Source organism: Homo sapiens, chromosome 2 (assembly GCF_000001405.40).
Source record: "Homo sapiens chromosome 2, GRCh38.p14 Primary Assembly".
Lineage (NCBI taxonomy): Eukaryota > Metazoa > Chordata > Mammalia > Primates > Hominidae > Homo > Homo sapiens.
Window position 1 is genome coordinate 42,226,172 of NC_000002.12, and position 19,313 is coordinate 42,245,484.

Genomic DNA, 19,313 nt, shown 5'->3' on the forward strand with positions numbered 1-19,313 from the left:
GATTGAATCTATTAGATCTTCCAGATACACTTAAATTCTGAGATAAAAATATACATACTCATGTAATTCTTAGCCATGACACTGAAGGGACAGGGATTGGGGAGATGTTGGCCAGAAGACACAAAATTTCAGTTAGATGGGAGGAATAAGTTGAAGAGATCTATTGTAAATCATAGTTTTTACAGTTAATAAAAAAATAAATTATGGGCCGGGCGTGGTGGCTCATGGCTGTAAACCCAGCACTTTGGGAGGCCGAGGCGGGCGGATCATGAGGTCAGGAGATCGAGACCATCCTGGCCAACATGGTGAAACCCTGTCTCTACTAAAAATACAAAATTAGTTGGGCGTGATGGTGCATTCCCGTAATCCCAGCCACTCGGGAGGCTGAGGCAGGAGAATCACTTGAACCTGGGAGGCGCAGGTTGCTGTGAGGTGAGATCGTGCCATTGCACTCCAGCCTGGGCAACAGAGTAAGACTCTGTCTCAAAATAAAATAAAATAAAATAAAATAAATAAAATAAATTACATACTTGAAAATTGCTAAGAGAGTAGATTTTTAAATGTTCTTTCTCCTCATAGAAAAATGCTACGTGAGATAATGCATATGTTAAGTAGTCTGACTTAGCCATTCCACAGTATTTACATGTATCACAGTATCATGTTATACACCATAAATATATACAACTTTTACTTGTCAATTAAAAAGTAAATTTAAAAATGTGAAATGAGATTAAAAAATAAAAGAACTGCTTACTTCTAGAAATATATATATAAATTTTGATTATAGTAGCAGTATCCCACAAAATTTCCATGAAATTCAACAAAGGGAATCCTCTCAAAAGGAAAGCAAGATTTTGTTGAGCCTTGTACTGAACTTGTTTAATCCAGACTTTTTTCCACTTTCAGTTTTATGTGCATGTGAAATGATGTTCATTCTTTTTCTTTTTTTTTCCCCTTGAGGTAAGATCTCGCTCTGTTGCCCAGCTGGAGTGCAGTGGCACAGTTGTGGCTCACTGCAGCCTTGACCTCCCAGATTCAAGAGATCCTTCCACCTCAGCCCCCACAGCCTGCCCCAAGTAGCTGGCTGAGACTACTGGCATACACCTGGTTTTTTTTAATTTTTAATTTTGTAGAGATGGGGTTCTCACTATGTTGCTCATGCTGGCCTCAAGCAATGCTCCCACCTCAGCCCCGCAAAGTGCTGGGATTACTGGCATGAACCACTGTGCCCAGCCTCCATTCTTATTTTTTTAAAGAATTACATCCTACCTGCTTTCAAAATTAATATGAGCCTGTTAAGGCTTTTTTTTTTTTTTTTTTAAACCACCCCTCTTCCACAAAGAAAAACTTTAAATTTGCTTCTGGTCCAGCAACTCAATTTTGTGTGACATATTGCAATATATATGCCCTTCAAATACAGTTGACCCTTGAACAACACAGGTTTGAACTGTGTGGGTCCACTTATATAAGGATTTTCTGCTGCCTCTGCCACCCCTAAGGCAGCAAGAACAACCCCGCCCCCTTCCTCCTCCTCTGCCTATGCAGCATGAAAACAGCAAAGCTGAAGACTTTTATGAACATCCATTTCCACTTAATGAATAGTGAATATATTTTCTCATGATTTTTTTAACATATCACCTTATAAAACTATAGAATATATATAACATACAAAATATGTGTTAATCAACTGTTTGTTATCAGTAAGGCTTCCGGTCAACCGCAGGCTATTAATAGTTAAGTTTGTAGGGAGTCAAAAATTATACATAGGCCGGGCACAGTGGCTCACACCTGTAATCCCAACACTTTGGGAGGCCAAGGTGGGCGGATTACTTGAGGTCAGGAGTACAGAAGCAGCCTGGCCAACATGGTGAAACCCCATCTCTACAAAAAATACAAAAAATTAGCTGGACATGGTGTCACGCACCTATAATCCCAGCTACTCAGGAGGCTGAGGTATGAGAATTGCTTGAGCCTGGGAGGCCAAGGTTGCAGTGAGCCAAGATTATGCCACTGCACTCCAGCCTGGGTGACAGGGAGAGACTCTGTCTCAAAAAAAAAAAAAGTATACATGGATTTATATACTTGAAAATTGCTAAGAGAGTAGAAAGAATTCTCCTCATAGAAAAATGAGTGGGTGGTCAGCACCCCTAACCCCTACATTGCTCAAGGATCGACATAGTTTTAGGAATGAAGTTGATGAGTTTTGCTGATATAGCTTGTGGTTGATTGATAGATTTCCTCTGGGTCTTTCTCTGCCTTCTTTTTTATTTGAAATAGGCTAAAACATCATGTTCTTAGAGCTTGTCATTTAAAATTTAGTATTCAATACTTATATCATTTGGAATATAGCTGTAGTCTTATAATTCAGAAGGTATAGCTTTGCTTGTAATGTTTTATAGGCCTACATAGTGAGCTCTTAAAATGGCACTGCTTTAAAAAATTTCTCATGAGTATTTTGCTTTTAACAGAGAAATAACTTGCTCCAGAGACCAGGCTTTCATTCTTTTCTCTCCTGGTAAAAATTGACTGACTTTCTGTGAGTTCTACAATTTTCTGTATATATCTGTCAGGACAAGTGTTGTATTGTACTTTATTTTATTTATTTATTTACCTTCTTCTCTCCCCCACAATGCTTGCTAGGGTTAGGAAACAGTCTTATTTAAATCCTAACAATGCATGGTATGTATTAATAATTAGAAGGTCACTTAATGTTAAAAATGATTATCAAATAAATAACATATATCTTTGTGTTGTTTTCACTGTCTCCTGCTAATTCCAATTTAGTCCATTTTTAATTTTCTGATGATTAAATGAAATTTAGTGAGTAAACAAATCAGTAAAATATAGTATCTCTTTCTGCTAATGTATTAGAAACTAAGTTTTAGTAAAACTTTGATCGTGTACCCTAGGTACCTGACTGCAAATGTTACTCATCCTTAAGGATTAAGGTGATCTAGGTGTGGGTTTAGCAGACCTTTGTATTGGAATCTTATGATGATTATAGTAGTAGCTAACATTTATAAAAAGGAAAATTTCACTATTTGTTGTTTTTACATGCTGTTTAATTTATCTAATTTAATTTTCTATAACTTTATATGTCATCTAGATGTTCTTAGCTTCATTTTAAAGATGGAGAATCTGAGGCATGAAGAAGTTAAGAAACTTGCCTGGGTATATAGTTACTAAATGATGAAGCCAGTTTTTAAATCCCAGACAGTCTAAATCCAGCACTGTGCTCTTAAGCACCATATGCATATTAAGTAAGTTTTTAGCTTACACATGAACTTTGTATTCCAGGAACAGTTATGTTAGTAAAATATTAAATGGTAGAGAATTTTTTCATAAAGCAAGACAGATAACTGTCTTGCAAGAGTCACCCATTCACCACGAGAGAGAAAAATAAAAGAAATGTGAGTGAGTGAGTTTAGGGCTAAATACATGTAAATACTGAGTTTGTCAGAGGAATCAGGGAGGGAAGTAAAGTAGATTTTTTTTCTTGGGTAAGAAATAAAAGCATTTAGCTCATTTGCTTATAAAAAATAGTAAGAGGAAAACTCTAGCAAAATAAATCTAGAGTCTTGGTTGAGGCCCACTAATGCGAGAACATCTGACCTCTTGGTTGGGCTAAATCTCTAAAACTGATAGGAATAACAAAAATATACTTAATTTTGGTCATATCCTGGCAGAGGGGAAAGGAGGGCAGGAAGATAGATAGCCTCAAAATCCAGGTACAAGAAAGGAAAGGGGATATTCAGAGAAAGAAAAAAACCATAAAAAGGAAGAAATACTAGATGGTGAGGGAAGAGGAGAGAGATACCGATCTTTTCTATCATGCAATTATTGGCTAAATTTGCTTCTTCCAGATTCCCCCTCAGCTACACGAAACTTCTAATAAAGGGGGTTCTTATCTTCTAAAGCAACCCCTAGTCCTATGCATGTCACCAAACTAATAAGTGTCTTTTTTTCATTCCCTGTTTTATCCTGTCTTTGCTGCTTATTCTGAAGCACAACCACAACAAATCAACCACTGTTTGGAGAGTTATTGCAAAGTGTGATGCTTTGCAGGTGTAGAGGAAAATGAAAAATAGCTTCTTCCCCAGAGGGTTTTACAATCTAGTTAGGAATTTTAAATGTAACTTTATTAAAAGATAATTAACAATATCCTACAATATTATGAGTTGTGTGGTATATACAATTCCACACTTACCTATTAGCTCAACCTCTTATTTTTTATTTTATTTATTTATTTTTTTGAGACAGAGTCTTTTACTGTTGCACAGGCTAGAGTACAGTGTTGCAATCTTGGCTCACTGTAACCTCCGCCTCCCAGGTTCAAGTGATTCTCCTGCCTCAGCCTCCCTAGTAGCTGGGACTACAGGTGTGTGCCACCATCCCCAGCTAATTTTTTATTTTTAGTAGAGATGGGGTTTTGTCATGTTGGCCAGGCTGGTCTCAAACTCCTGACCTCAGGCGATCCCTCCACCTCAGCCTCCGAAAGTGCTGGGATTACAGGCGTGAGCCACCGTGCCCAGCCAGCTCAAGCTCTTTAACCAGGTCTTCTCAGCAGGGCACTGTGTCTCCTGCTTTACAGAAAAATTAGGTAGAAAGACAAATATCTTCACCTCCTCTCATCTTCTTCCCTTCATTCTTAGATAAAAGTATCTCTTCTCAGAAAAGGCTCATTCTTTGTCTTGTTTTTTCTATTTTAGCCCTTCACATCTCTAACGCTGGAGCTCTGCTCCATGTCCTTACGTGTTAGTATAAATAACTCTGTTGGTTCCTTCCCTCAACCCTGTAAATCTATTACTCTTACATTTAAATAAAAACACCACTGTCAGCTTTGCAGACACTCTCTTCACCCCCGTCTGGTTAAACCCTTTCCATCTTCAATCACATTCCTTAAAAGACTGCCTTACCTCCCAGCCTCACTTCAGTGCATTGCAGTTATGCTTCTGTTCCCATGACTCCACTGAAACTTCTCTGGTAAAGATTCCTTAATACTGGCCAAATCAGATGGACCATTTTTAGTCATTGTCTTTTGATATCTTTGCAGTCTAACATTATGTCTCCTTTCCTGAACCTATGACTAGCTTTCTGACAGTTTTTATTCTGTCTTCTCTGCTGGATAACTTTGGCCCTATTCCTTTCTCACTCCAAGTCATCAATTCTCACAACTCCAGTTATCAGATATGTCCTAATAAAGCTCCGAAGTGTAATCTCTAATTCAGGCCTCTATCTTAAGCCCAAGACCTAGTTATACTTTTGTTATAATGACCTCAAACTCAGCAGATCCAAAACCACACATCTTTCTGCTCCCTCATTCCCCACACTGTTTTTTTTCCTTTGTTCTCTATCAGTGCATGTTATTGAACCATTTATTCAGTCATCCAAATAGAAAAACAGGGATCTTCCTGTACTTTTTATCCTCTTATGTAATCAATGACCATATTCCATCAATTCTGTCTTGAGTATCATCTATTAAAATTATCCCTTTATGGCTGGGCACTGTGGCTCACACCTGTAGTCCCAGCACTTTGGGAGGCCAAGGTGGGTGGATCACGAGGTCAGGAGATCGAGACCATCCTGGCTAATATGGTGAAACCCTGTCTCTACTAAATATACAGAAAATTAGCCAGGCGTCATGGCGGGCACCTTTAGTCCCAGCTACTCAGGAGGCTGAGGTGGGAGAATGGCGTGAACCCGGGAGGCAGAGCTTGCAGTGAGCCAAGATCAAGCCACTGCATTCCAGCCTGGGCAACAGAGTGAGACTCCGTCTCAAAAAAAAAAAATTATTTATTTCTAATTTCTGGTAGATAAATTTCTGGCAGTAATTTTTTTTTTAAATTCTCAGCACTTTGAAAATTTTTTATATACAGTAGTACTCAAATATCTGGATGAATAGGAGTTTTGAAAAAGAGATTTGACTGTAACAGAAAAGAGAGAAGATGATTCTTAATCATAGAAACAGCTGAGACTGGGTCTCACAAGCTTTTTCCCTGAAATTAGATTTCGATTTGAGAAGAAAGAAATGGCCAGGGTACATAATATACAAATTAGTAATGCACTGCACAAGTGGGAGGTGGTGGGAAAAAAAGCCCTATATACTTTGATGTGCAAGAGGACCTTTTTTGTTATATGCTAATTAGAAAGCACTTTGTTACAGAACTTTTTGGCAGCCCTTCTAACCTTAGGAACCTCTAAGCAATCATTTAATTTGGGTCCATTTATTGTAAAGAAGAGTATAGTTGACACCTGAATTATAAAACTACAGCCTTACATTTGTCTGGTGATTCAAGTATAACGACATACAATCTGCTTTCAAGCCTCTCACCAGTCAATAGCAAGAATTTGAATTCCTTCCTAGCCTGTAATGTTTCAAACACATTATATATTCCCCAACCCACCTCACTCCTGTTAATCTTTCAAGTAACTCCTATACTTTGATGAATCTGTACCAGGTATTAATCAAAAGAGAAGTGCTTTCCTGAGTCTTACTTGTAGAAACACTCTTTTGATGGCTTCTACTTTTCTGTAAAGGCCTTTTTGTTTTGTTTTTGTTTTTGTTTTTTTGAGACGGAGTCTGGCTGTGTCGCCCAGGCTGGAGTGCAGTGGCACGGATTTCGGCTCACTGCAAGCTCCGCCTCCCGAGTTCATGCCATTCTCCTGCCTCAGCCTCCCTAGTAGCTGGGACTACAGGCGCCCGCCACAACGCGCGGCTAATTTTTTTTATTTTTTAGTAGAGATGGGGTTTCACCGTGTTAGCCAGGATGGTCTCCATCTGACCTCGTGATCCCCCTGCCTCACCCGCCCAAAGTGCTGGGATTACAGGTGTGAGCCGCTGTGCCTGGCCTGTGAAGGCCTTTTGTAAGTATTAATCTGGATCATTTTGCCTCATTCCAATGTCTTTTATCAGCTTTTGCTGTTAGTTTATCCTTAGATCAATCTCTTCATGTTCATAACTCCTCACATTTAGTTTGGTTTAGGTTTCATCCCTTCACAGCAGTTTTTGGTGCATGTGTGTTTATAGCTGTTATGTTGTTAATGTTTTATTTTGAGTTGGTTTAAATTTATAAAGTGCAAATGTAAAGCTTAAAAGCAACAAAAAGAGATAAATTGTTTGTTATTACAGGTTTCTTTCTTTTTTTTTTTTTTTTAATGGAGTCTCACTCTGTCGCCCAGGCTGGAGTGCAGTGGCGCGATCTCAGCTCCCTGCAAGCTCTGCCTCCCAGGTTCACACCATTCTCCTGCCTCAGCCTCCCCAGTAGCTGGGACTATAGGCACCCGCCACCATGCCCAGCCAATTTTTTTTTTATTTTTAGTAGAGACGGGGTTTCACCATGTTAGCCAGGGTGGTCTCAATCTCCTGACCTCATGATCCGCCTGCCTCAGCCTCCCAAAGTGCTGGGATTACAGGCTTGAGCCACCGCACCCAGCCCCTATTACAGGTTTCTTAATGCTAGTACTGCAGTTAATATTTTCAAACAACTTGGAAACTTAGTTAAGAAAAATGATTCTCATTGTTAATTATATTCATTAACTTAGCAAAATGTTTATAATGAATCTTAATATCTTAATATTTTGGTTTTAAAAATCAATGAAAAGTGATAATTCCTTTAGTTTTGTTACAATTCATGTGGATTTCATTGTATTTTAAATAAAACAAAAGGAAAAAGGAAATATGACTTGCTACTTTGTATACACATTGTTTATTTTATTTCCTACTAGGAAAAATACTTACTTTGGGGACTTTAAGCTCTAAGCAATAGTACCTTATTGTTAACCAGTTTAAAGAAGATCCGAAAAGTAGTGCCAAAGGGCAACCAAATAATTTTAGTGAATATTTGCATAGTGCATTAATTCATGCTTTTCTGCTGCCTAGGGTTTAGCCACTCCTCAAAGCAGCCCAGGTTTTTTGTCTGTATCCTGCCTGCTTTTGCCTGTGTGTTGTGTGCTCACTGTCCTTCAGTTTGTCCCCTTTTATAAAATAGAACACTTTCTTTAGTTCAGAGAGCAAAAGGGCAGGAGAAGAGCTATCTTAAGTTTTATTTTTGCCAACATAGAAGTAGTTTGTGTGGTAGGCCATCTGGACTGAGAGGATTTCCTCGGAATGTAAAGTATGTTGTGAGATCTAGAGAGCTGAGATTTGCTTTGAAACTATCTGGGAAGGTGGTATTCCTACGCAGACAGAACTGGTTTATATTGCTTACAACATCGGTGGTGGGAACGGAAGACAGCTTGCCTTGTCTCGCTTCAGTGTGGGGTTCCTCTACCCTTAAGAATTTCTGACCAGGTAAACTATCTCTCCATTCCTGTGAGTTCAGACCTGTCTCACAAACTTGTGACAAAAGAAGTCTGAGGACTTGGGAATGAATCTAGATTCCTTGCTCCCTCCATTAGCCCCCTTCTCCCTGTAAATATATGTGTCAGTAATGTGATAAACATTTGCCTACACACTTGTATAAAGTACTTAAAACTACTTACTTTATAAACAAATATATTCCTGTTGAGAGGACAGGGTGGGTTTTGCTCAGCTTGTTCTTGTTCTCTGTGAAAAAAGATGGTCATGTATATAAAACAGCAGCTTTTAATGGAAAATAATTTAAAAGTGCCTGTCTTAATAATACATCAGAAATTGTATAATTAAGCTTGACTTTTACTTTTGTGAACTCTAACCAAAAAACATCATCAAAAACAATTATCTAGGCCGGGCACTGTGGCTCATGCCTTGTAATCCCAACACTTTGGGAGGCCAAGGCGGGTGGATCACTGGAGGCCAGGAGTTCAAGGCCAGCCTGGCCAACGTGGCGAAACCCCATCTCTACTAAAAATACAAAAATTAGCGGGTCAGGCATGGTGGCTCATGCCTGTAATCCCAGCACTTTGGGAGGCTGAGGTGGGTGTATCACCTGAGGTCAGCAGTTTGAGACAAGCCTGGCCAACATGGTGAGATCCCGTCTCTATTAAAAGTACAGAAATTAGCCGGGTGTGCTTGCAGGTGCTTGTAATCCCAGCTACCCGGGAGGCTAATGCAGGAGAATCGCTTGAACCCGGGAGGCAGAGGTTGCAGTGAGCCGAGATCGCACCACCGCACTCAGTCTGGGTGACAAGAGCGAAACTCCATCTCAAAAAAAAAAAAAAAGTAGCAGAGCATGGTGGCGTGCACCTGTAATCCCAGCTACTCAGGAGGCTAAGGCGCGAGAATTACTTGAGCAGCCTGGGAGGCAGAGGTTGCAGTGAGCTGAGATCATGCCACCGTACTCCAGCCTGGGCAACAGAGCCAGACTGTGTCTCAAAACAAACAAAACAAAAACACTATACACAGTGTGTGGTATTGTTACTAGTTTCTCATGGTCTTCACTCAACGTTAGCTTCTCTAATCTAACCTAATCTTCTGCCATTACCATTCTAACCTATAAGGGCTGCACAGTATCTCAGCATAAGTGCTTTAGGAAGGGGAGATCAGAGACTATTTCAAATTTTTTAACAACTTATTTGTTCTTGGGATGATATTATATCTCATATCATGTAACTTTTTGAAATGAAGGACTGTTTTTTTCCTTAGGTTTGTAGATAATTAATCTTAGAGTCATACTATTAGGCCTCAAAACTGTCATAAAGACCATCTAGTATAGTTGTTTTTATGCCACAAAACCCCAGGGTTCTTAGAAATACAACTTCATTTTTGTTTTGGAACTTAATTCACAAAAAATGGATTCATTGTTCTCCAAAGAATAAAGTGAATAAATCAGTTATGTAGACCAGTTATCATATCCCCCATCTACTTTTACAGAAGAGAAACATCACTGAACTTCCCTCCCCCTCCCTAAAAAGTTACAATACATGTTTTAATCACGTAGATGTTCCATTATGTGTGAGTGTCTCACTGTCCTATCCTCTGTCATACAACCATCAGAAGTAACTATTGTCATAAATTTTGTGTATATCATTCCCTTGGTTTTTCAGTAGTTTTATTCTAAACATTGTATTATTTACTTTTGTATGTTTTTGAACTTTATATAAATTTCACCTGACTTGCTCTTTACATTCATCATGTTCCTGAGATTCAAAATGATGTTGCACATCGCCATAGTTTACTTTTACTATTCTGATATTCTGTTGGTTGTTAATATCACAATTTACCCGTTTTACAATTGATAGATATTTAGGTTGTTTCCAATTTGTTTTTATGATGAACTATGCTGCTGTGAATATTCTTGGACATGTCTTTTGATGTATGTATGTCTGCAGGAGTTTCTCTAGAACAGAGACTGGGAGACTGCCTGGGAGGCCACCTGTTTTATAAATGAAGTTTTATTAAATGAAGTTTTATTGGAACATAGCCACACCCATTCATATACATATTTCTAGCTGTTTTTGTGTTACAAAGGCACATCTGAGTAGTTTGCTCCACAGACTGTGTGGTCTGCAAAGCCTAAAATATTTAACTATTTTCCCCTTTACAGAAAAGTTTGTTGACTCCTACTTTAGGTTAGGGTAACACAGTGGAATTGCTGGGTCATAGGATGTGTGTGTCTTCAGTTTTACTAGATATTGCCAAGGTTTTTTTTCCCCCTAAAGTCATTGAAACAGGTCACTTTCTACCAGTGATGTTGGAGAGCTTGTATCCCTCCATATCTTTGGGAACACTGTATGTTGTCACACTTTACGTTTTTGGCCAGTCTGGTACGCATAAGATAGTATTTTGGATGGTTTCAATTTTCCTTTCCAAGATTATTAATGAGGTGCTTGAGTCTCATTTTATGTTTGTTGACCATTTATGTTTCCTTTTCTATGAGGTGTTTAGAAAGACTGGCAAAACCTTTGACTAACTATAGAATTGTTTGTAGTCTCAACCTCCCTGGTCTCAGGTCATCCTCCCACCTCAGCCTCCTAAGTAGCTGGGACTACAGGTGTGCCACCATGTCTGGCTAATTTTTGTATTTTTTGTAGAGACAGGGATGCCATGTTGCCCAGGCTGGTCTCGAACTCCTGAACTCAAGCAGTCCTCCTCCCTCGGCCTCCTAAAGTGCTGGGATTGTGGGCATGAGCTACCATGCCCAGTCTGGATACTAATTTTTATCATTTATTATGTGTTACAGCTATCTTTCCCATGTGTATGGATTACTTTCTCTCTTTATTATGTCTTTTGGAGACCAAACATCTGAATTCCATTGTAGTTAAGTATCAGTATTTTATGGTTTTTTTGGTGTCTTTTTTGGACCTTCCTGTTTGTAGGATATGAAGACATTTGCAGTTATTTTCTAAAGATTTTATGATTTTGCCTTTAATTCTTTAATCTTCTTGGATTTTATTTTTGTGTGTGGTGGAGATATGGGCTTTAATATATGGTTCACCCTTGAATAACATGGGGGTTTGGGGTGCCAACTCCCTCCCTCTCCCGCTCAGTCAAAAATCCACGTATACTTTTGCTTCCCCAAAAACCTGACTACTGATAGCCTACTATTGACCAGAAGCTTTACTGGTAACAAGTTGATTCACATATTTTTGTGTATTACATATATTATATGCTGTACTCTTATAATAAAGTAAGCTAGAGTAAAGAAAATGTTATTAAGAAAGTCATAAGGAAAATTCATTTACTATTCATTAAATCAAAATGGATCGTCATAAGACCTTCCTCTTCGTCATCTCAACTACTCAACATGAGTTGAGTAGGTTGAGGAGGAAGAGGAGAGGTTGGCTTGCATTTTCCTGTTAAGTACTTAAGTATGAATAAGTTTTAAAAAGTGATTACTTATTGGTAGCATATAAGTTCAGAGTCAGGAATGATGGTTATGCCAAAAAACAACCAGTTGTCCATGTGGGTGTCTGAAATAGTGACACCTTTGTTTTCTGATAGTTCAGTATACACTTTATTTCATGCACAAAATTATTTTTTAAATACTGTATAAAATTACCTTCGGGACATGTATGTAAGATGTAAGTGGAACATAAATGAATTTTGTAGTTAGACTTGGATCCCCTCCACAAGATATCTCATTATGTATATGCAGATATTCCAAAATCTGAAAAATTTGAGACCTGAAACACTTCTGGTACCAAGCAATTCAGATAAGGGATACTCAACCTGTAATATGTTTTTAAAATAGAAGAGGTCCTCATTTTAGAGACTTCTCATATAAACAGTTCAAAAAGCTTAGTTATTCAATGTACCATAATATAGGAAATTAGATTGGAAAGGGAGCATTGCTATGGATAGGCATAGCTAATCCCAACTGCAAAGAGGTAAGGGGAAAAGTAGAAAGAAAGATTAGAAAACCAAAAATGTGGTCTGGTGCAGTGGCTCATGCCTGTAATTCCAGCACTTTGGGAGGCTGAGAGGGGAGGATTGCTTGAGGATGGGAATTCAAGACCAGCTTGGGCAATATTGTGAGACCCATCTCTACAAAAAAGAAAATTAAAAATGTAATTTTGTTTTTATTTTTTTATTTTTTATTTTTTTGGCAATAGGGTCTTACTCTTTTGCCCAGGCTGGAGTGCAAGGGTGCAGTTATAGCTCACTGCAGCCTTGAACTGGGCTCAGACAATTCTACTGCCTCAGCCCCTGAATTACAAGCATGTGCCACCACACCTGGCTAACTTTTAAAAAATTGTTATTTATTTGTTTTAAAGACAGGGTCTTGCTCTGTCACGCAGACTTGAGTGCAGTGGCACAGTCATGCCTTACTGCAGCCGTGACCTCTTAGGCTCAAGTGATCCTCCTGCCTCAGGACTGGGACTATAGGTGTGTGCTGCCACCCCCTGGCTAATTTTTTTTGTAGAGACAGGGTCACCCTAGGTTGCCCAGGCTGGTCTTGAACTCCTCGGCTCACGCAATCATCCTGCCTCAACGTCTCAAAAGTGCTGAATTATAGGCCTGAGCCATGGTTCTCAATTATTTAATTAGAAGTATAATAGCCTCTAGGGCATCATTTCACCACAGTGCTTGCAGCGTAGTAATTAATATTCTAAATGAAGACTGAGTCACCAAGAAGTGGTTACATTATGATGGTGTGCCCCCACTAAGAAAACAAGACAGTAAGTATTCTGTTTTAGAAAGATATAAAATCGGTAAAATCCAAAGGTACTAGAATGTGTAGGCATGTCTTATTCTGATATGATACTGGATTGCCAACTTTTGGATATTTATAATGAAACACAATATACTTACCTTTGCAAAGGTGACACATTTCTCAACAGTTCAGAAAAAAATTAACTGTGATTCAGTGTAATAAAAGCATAATGAATAGCTATCATTGTATTCTTTAAACTGTAATATTTCAAACTTTATAAAGTTTACGAAGTCACATGTAGATTTCCTTGTATTTCTAAAAAGAGACTGACTCATGCCGGTAAATAGATCAGACTGATAGTGAGAGGTTTCTGGATCTCCGTTTTCTCTTCATTCTTTACTTTTTTTCTTAATGAGTTCAAAAATGCTTGAGAATTCATTTGTATTTCATATTTTAACCTTCAAAGCTGGAAACTATTTTGAGAAGGGGCAACAATTTTTAAAAACCAGGGGGCAATTAGAAAAAATGTTTAAAGGGAGGGGATTACCATTTTTAGCTTATACTCCTACTCTATAATAAAGGCGGCGGGGGGTGGGGTGTAAGGAAAATGATCTAATCTACTTGATCAAGAAAAGGGAATGTTAATAGCCCTCAGAAAATATATTCATTTACTGAACAGTTATATCCCTTAGTTTATTGTGAATGAGAATGGGGGCATCTTAGAGATTGGGAGGGAAAAAAAATAAGAGCAAAGTTTTCAAAATGGAAAGAACAAGAGCAATGCATAATATAGTCATCAGAGGAAGGAACTCTGACTCGTTTGCTGTGTGGCCATGGGTAACTCACCTGATGTCTCAGAGTCTTAGTTTACTTATTTATAAAATGATGAGAGGGGTTGTTGGACTTCAAGATAGTGTCTGTTCTTGTTTTAGTAATCTATGATAGAAATTTAAGTTATTTGCATTCTCCTTTGCTATGTTCCTTATAACACTGGAACACTGTAACTGGAGGAAACTTGTTTTAAGAAGTTAAGCTTCAGAAGCAATGCATTTTACCTTAAAGGGCATAAATTAATACACATTTTTATTGTGAAATTCGAATAATACAGGAATACATACACTAAAAAGCAAAAATTTATTTTTATTTCCTCTTTTCTAATCTTACCTTCCTAGCCAGAGGTAACCCAGTTACCAGTTTGATGTGTGTACTTCACAACTTCTTTCTGTGTACATTATATATACATATGTGTGTGTGTATATGTGTGTTTTTTGTGTTAATTTTTTAAAAGTGTGTTTTGGTGTGTGTCTATCAATTATTCAGTACATATTGTTTTGCAGTTTGCTTATCCACTTAAGTCATCTTGTAGATTTTTCAAATTTTTAGCTTATGCTCCTACTCTGTTATTTTAAATTATTCCATGATATTCTATGGTATGGACATATTACAGCTTATTTAACCTCATCCTTAGACTTCAGGTCATTTCTAATTTTGTGGCAATAATAAACAGTGCAATAAAGAACATCACTATAGGATAGCAACTTACTGAAAGCATCCTGTATTGCCATGCCATGCATTATTTCATCTAATCATCCCAAGCCTGATGTAAGTACCAGTTCACATGAGTAAATTACACGTGAAGAAAGCAGTCACAGAGTTGGTAAATAGCAAACAGATGGCCGGGCGTGGTGGCTCACACCTGTAATCCCAGCACTTTGGGAGGCCAAGGCAGGCAGATAGATCCCTTGAGGTCAGGAGTTTGAGACCAGCCTGACCAACATGGCAAAACTCCATATCTACAAAAAAATAAAAGTTAGCTGGGTGTGGTGGCATGCGCCTCTGTAATCTCCCAGCTACTCCGAGCCTCAGCTAATAGAATCTGAGGCAGGAGAATCTCTTGAACCCATGAGGCGGAGGTTGCAGTGAGATTGCACCACTGCACTCCAGCCTGGTCGACAGAGTGAGTCTCAAAGAAAAAAAAAAAGCAAACAGATAGATGTATTTAGTCAGTGTAATACCAGAGTTAATGCACTATTCTACCACAGCTTTTATTGAATTCTCAAAGAAATTCATGCCCCTGAAAGGGTTAAGAGCCAGGATTTTAGACAGGAAGGAATTAGAGCTGTGAGGAACTCTGGTGATAACTACTATGCTCTGTTACATTGCCATTGCTTGTTGCCTTGGCTATAGTGACCCTGTAATTGATCATCCAAGTCAGGGAACTTGAGAGTGAAAGAGGGGGCATTATGATAATATTTATACTGAGATAGGAGACATACTTGTTCTGGAGAAACTGAGATACTTGAACATGTTAACCCTAACATAGGCCATCATCACCTTTCACATGGGTTACTGCAACAGCCTCCTGTCTGTTCTTGTGTTTACTCTTATCCTGTTCCAATCTATTTTCACACAGCGACCAAAATGATCTTCCTGAAACAAAAAACGGATTAAATCACTCAGTAGTTTAAGCCCCTTGCGTGGCTTTGTGAAAGGATGTATTTGTTTGGTCCTCATGTGATTATTGTTAGAATGCAGCATAGAATAAAATAAAAGGCACATAAGGTGAGAGTCAAAAGACTTGTCTTTGAGTCTGAGATACCTAGATTAGTTTGGTGACCTTGAGCAAGTTATTTAGTTTGAGCTATTTCCTCCAGTGTAAAATATAGATTGTGTGTGTATGTGTGTGTGTCGGGGGGGGGAAGCTGAGGTAATAAATATGAAAGGCACAATATAAATGCAGGCAATTGTTAACTTTGTATATGTTATGCCCTTTGAAAAATTGTTCTTGTGTCTCACAGTGTCTATCAGGGTTTGGTAGGAATTTTACAAGCTGAACCACCTTTCTTGTCACTATCCAAGTTTCACACAACTTAAACACCTTAGTCATTTTTTAAAAAATCAAAGTTTGTAAAAGTTTGCTGAAGGTAAGTTACCAAGCTGGTACTAAAACCTAGCACCCTAACCTTGGCATTATAGCCTGATGATCTAGTAGTTCAGCTGCCTTCCCAGAATAATTAAGCAGGTTATATGTTTACAAAAATCATATAAGCATTTTATCTGTGGTCATAATATAAAGATATAGCTCATCTTTCATGAATTGAGAACATTTTAGAAAAATATATCCATATAGTTTACTGACTTAATCGCGGCCTTTGGTTTACAAATAATGGCTTGCAAAAAGTGAATTTATTACGTTACATAATTAGCTGGGAGGAATATTGGAGCAGCTCTCAGAATTGAAGGGCCAAGGCTTCAGAGAGTATAACTGGAACACAAGGTAGTTAGAACCACCTTTATTTTTGACAGTCCTAGGGTGACATCCTGGTAGCTGGAGAACCAAGGTGGATGGGCTATAACTCTACCTCTGGGAAATTCAAGAGGGCTTCATTTGGCCTATCCTGTATCTCATGACTACTACTCCTGTGGTAGTATTAGACTGAGCCATATTAACTAACTCACTTCCTTCCTCCCTCCCTCTCTCCTTTCCTCCCTCCCTTCCTTCCCTTTTTTCTCTTTTCTTTTCTTTCCTTTTCTTTTCTCTTCTCTTCTCGTCTCGTCTCGTCTCTTCTTTTTTTCTCTTTTCTTTTTTCTTTTCTTTCTGATAGGGTCTTCCTCTGTCACCCAGGTTTAAGTGCAGTGGTGTAATTAAAACTCACTGAATCCTTGAATTAAACCCATCTTTGACTGGGTTTAAGTGAGCCTCCCATTTCACTTTTCTGAGTAGCTGGGACTACAAACACGTGCCACCATGCCCAGCTAATTTTTTCCATTTTTGTAGACATGGGTTCTCACTACGTTGCCCAGGCTGGTCTCGAACTCCTGGGATCAAGCGATCCGCCCACCTTGGCCTCCCTAAGTGCTAGGATTACAGTCGTGACCTGCCTTGTCCAGCTGAAATTTCTAGTAGTAATATTTATACAACTGAAAAGGTCATTTTATATGGTTCAGTCTCATAGTATGGGGCGCAGAGGGTAAAGTGAAGCATCATAGATTGACAGCTCTACTAGGACCAAGAAATATGGTGGAGTTTCACAAAAGACAAGAGTGGCTATTCTTCCTGTGAGAAGAAGGAGAATAGGAAAGAATTTTGGGTAGAAAGAATAGTGACCATAGTCTAACATACTTACAAAGAATATAGATCAGCTAGAATTCAGCTAGACCACCGTGGAAGTGAAAAATACTTAAAATATAAAAATTTCTAAGGCGAGAGACTGAATTGTTCTTATCATTCCTTAAGCATCTCAGAGTTGGACACATGTGCCTTTAAGTAACAAATGTGCTCAAAGTTTTCAAATTGTAACTTTTGTACTTTGTACATATCCTAGGCACACCCTCCTTAAAACAATCCTATTTAAAGGTGAAGAAATTAATGCTCAAAGAACTTGCCTAAGATTATGTAACTAGTTAATATGGAACCAGAATTTGAAGTCTAGATTAAAGATGAAACCCAACTTTTCCTTCAATATCTACGTCTCAAAGATAAGACTGTCAGTGAAATACCAGTAAAGACAGAAGAGAGTACATGTGTATGCATGGGAGGTCTGGTGGTGTATATCATCTTAAATATGAAATATGAATATTGTTTACTGTTCCATAATGTAATGGTGATAGCTTTGGTTTTTTAAATGTTGTGGTGGTGGTTTTAAACTTTGAATTAAATTAAGTTCCATAGCATATTATCTCAGTGTGAGAAAAAAACAGTACATTCTGCCTTATTGTCTGAATGACTGAAACAGTCATTTAAATGATCTCAGTGTGGTCCAAACAGCTCTTACATTAGAATCTAAAACTTGCCCTCAGTGTAAGCCAACGGTGTTTTTAACAGTTAGTTATTTCCCTGAATTTTCCTGCTTATACTGAATGAACCAATAGCAATTAATGTTTTTTTTGTTTTTTGTTTTTTGTTTTTGTTTTTTGTTTTTTTTTTTTTTTTGAGACGGGGTCTTGCTCTGTTGCCAGGCTGGAGTGCAGTGGCGTGATCTCGGCTCACTGCAACCTTTGCCTCCTGGGTTCAAGCAATTCTCCTGCCTCAGCCTCCCAAGTAGCTGGGACTACAGGCACACGCCACCAAGCCCGGCTAATTTTTTGTATTTTAATAGAGACTGGATTTCACCTTGTTGGCCAGGATGGTCTCGATCTCCTGACCTCATGATCTGCCCTCCTCAGCCTCCCAAAGTGCTGGGATTACAGGCATGAGCCACCGCGCCCAGCCAGCAATTGATGTTTCTATATGTTTGGATTCTTATTGACCCAACAAATACAGTAGTATAGTCTAAAGTTACATAACTTTGCAAGTCCTTTGTAATTGCTGTGGTATAGCTAAGCCTTATTTGAATAGTCTTTCTCTTGTTGCTGTTACATACCTAAGGCAAATATTAAGTATTTACTTCATAAAAACCTTTTTTTAAGAGAGGTTGTGGTGTTAGGTGGAGAGAAGGAGCAGCAAAAGGTCTTTTGTTAATTACATAGCAATACCGAGTTCTGTGGGGTGTGGGAGAGTATGATAGTAAAAAGTAAAGTAGTAAAGATGCTTCCTCATCATTGTTGGTTAAGGTGATAGACTCCCTATCTGATACATAAAACCAAACAAGTGATTTATATGCCTTTTCTGTTTTCATAGAGAACTGTGATAATAATGTAATTAAGAAAGGTTAAATAGTTTGCTGTCTTGGAAGTTTCCTGATGTCTACAAGATGATGTATTTAGGGAGCCTTTTCGTGAGAAAACCAATTAAGATGATGTTGTAAAAATAGGGGAAATTTGACCGTGGGGACAATTGTCACCATTTTAATGATTTGTGAAGTTTATTAACTTATTTTAAATTAAGATAGCTATAAAAGTCTTTATAGAAGTTAATATGTGTCAACATGATGAGATGTTATGGAGTTTTTTGTTTTGAAATTTTCTTTCTTTTTTTTTTTTTTTTTTGAGACAGACTCTTGCTCTGTTGCCCAGACTAGAGTGCAGTGGTGCAATCTCAGCTCACTGCACCCTCCACCTCCGGGGTTCACATGATTCTTGTGCCTCAGCCTCCCAAATAGCTGGGATTACAGGAGCGCATCATCATGCCTGGCTAATTTTTTGTGGTGTTAGTAGAGACGGGGTTTCACCATGTTGGCCATGCTGGTCTCCAACTCCTGACCTCAGGTGATCTGCCTCTCTTGGCCCCTCAAAGTTCTGGAAGTACAGGCACGAGCCACTTCACCTAGCCAGAATTTTTCTCATCTTTTGTAAGTCTTATGTGGGATGGTTTTTCTAATCAGAAATTACTTCTCAAGCAGTTTACTTAAAAATATTCCA

General features: G+C 38.4%; 1 protein-coding gene across 8 annotated transcripts in view; it reads left to right on the forward strand.

The window, feature by feature from the left end:
• EML4 (EMAP like 4) overlaps nt 1-19,313 on the forward strand; it is a 163,196-nt gene that overhangs the window by 56,819 nt on the left and 87,064 nt on the right. The window contains exon 1 of one of the 8 annotated variants that reach the window (XM_047443954.1): nt 1,322-19,243. The exons of the other annotated variants lie outside the window; for them this stretch is intronic. The gene's annotated coding sequence lies outside the window, so the exon portion shown is untranslated. Of the gene's footprint in view, nt 1-1,321; nt 19,244-19,313 lie in introns of those variants that run through there. 8 annotated transcript variants of the gene reach the window in all.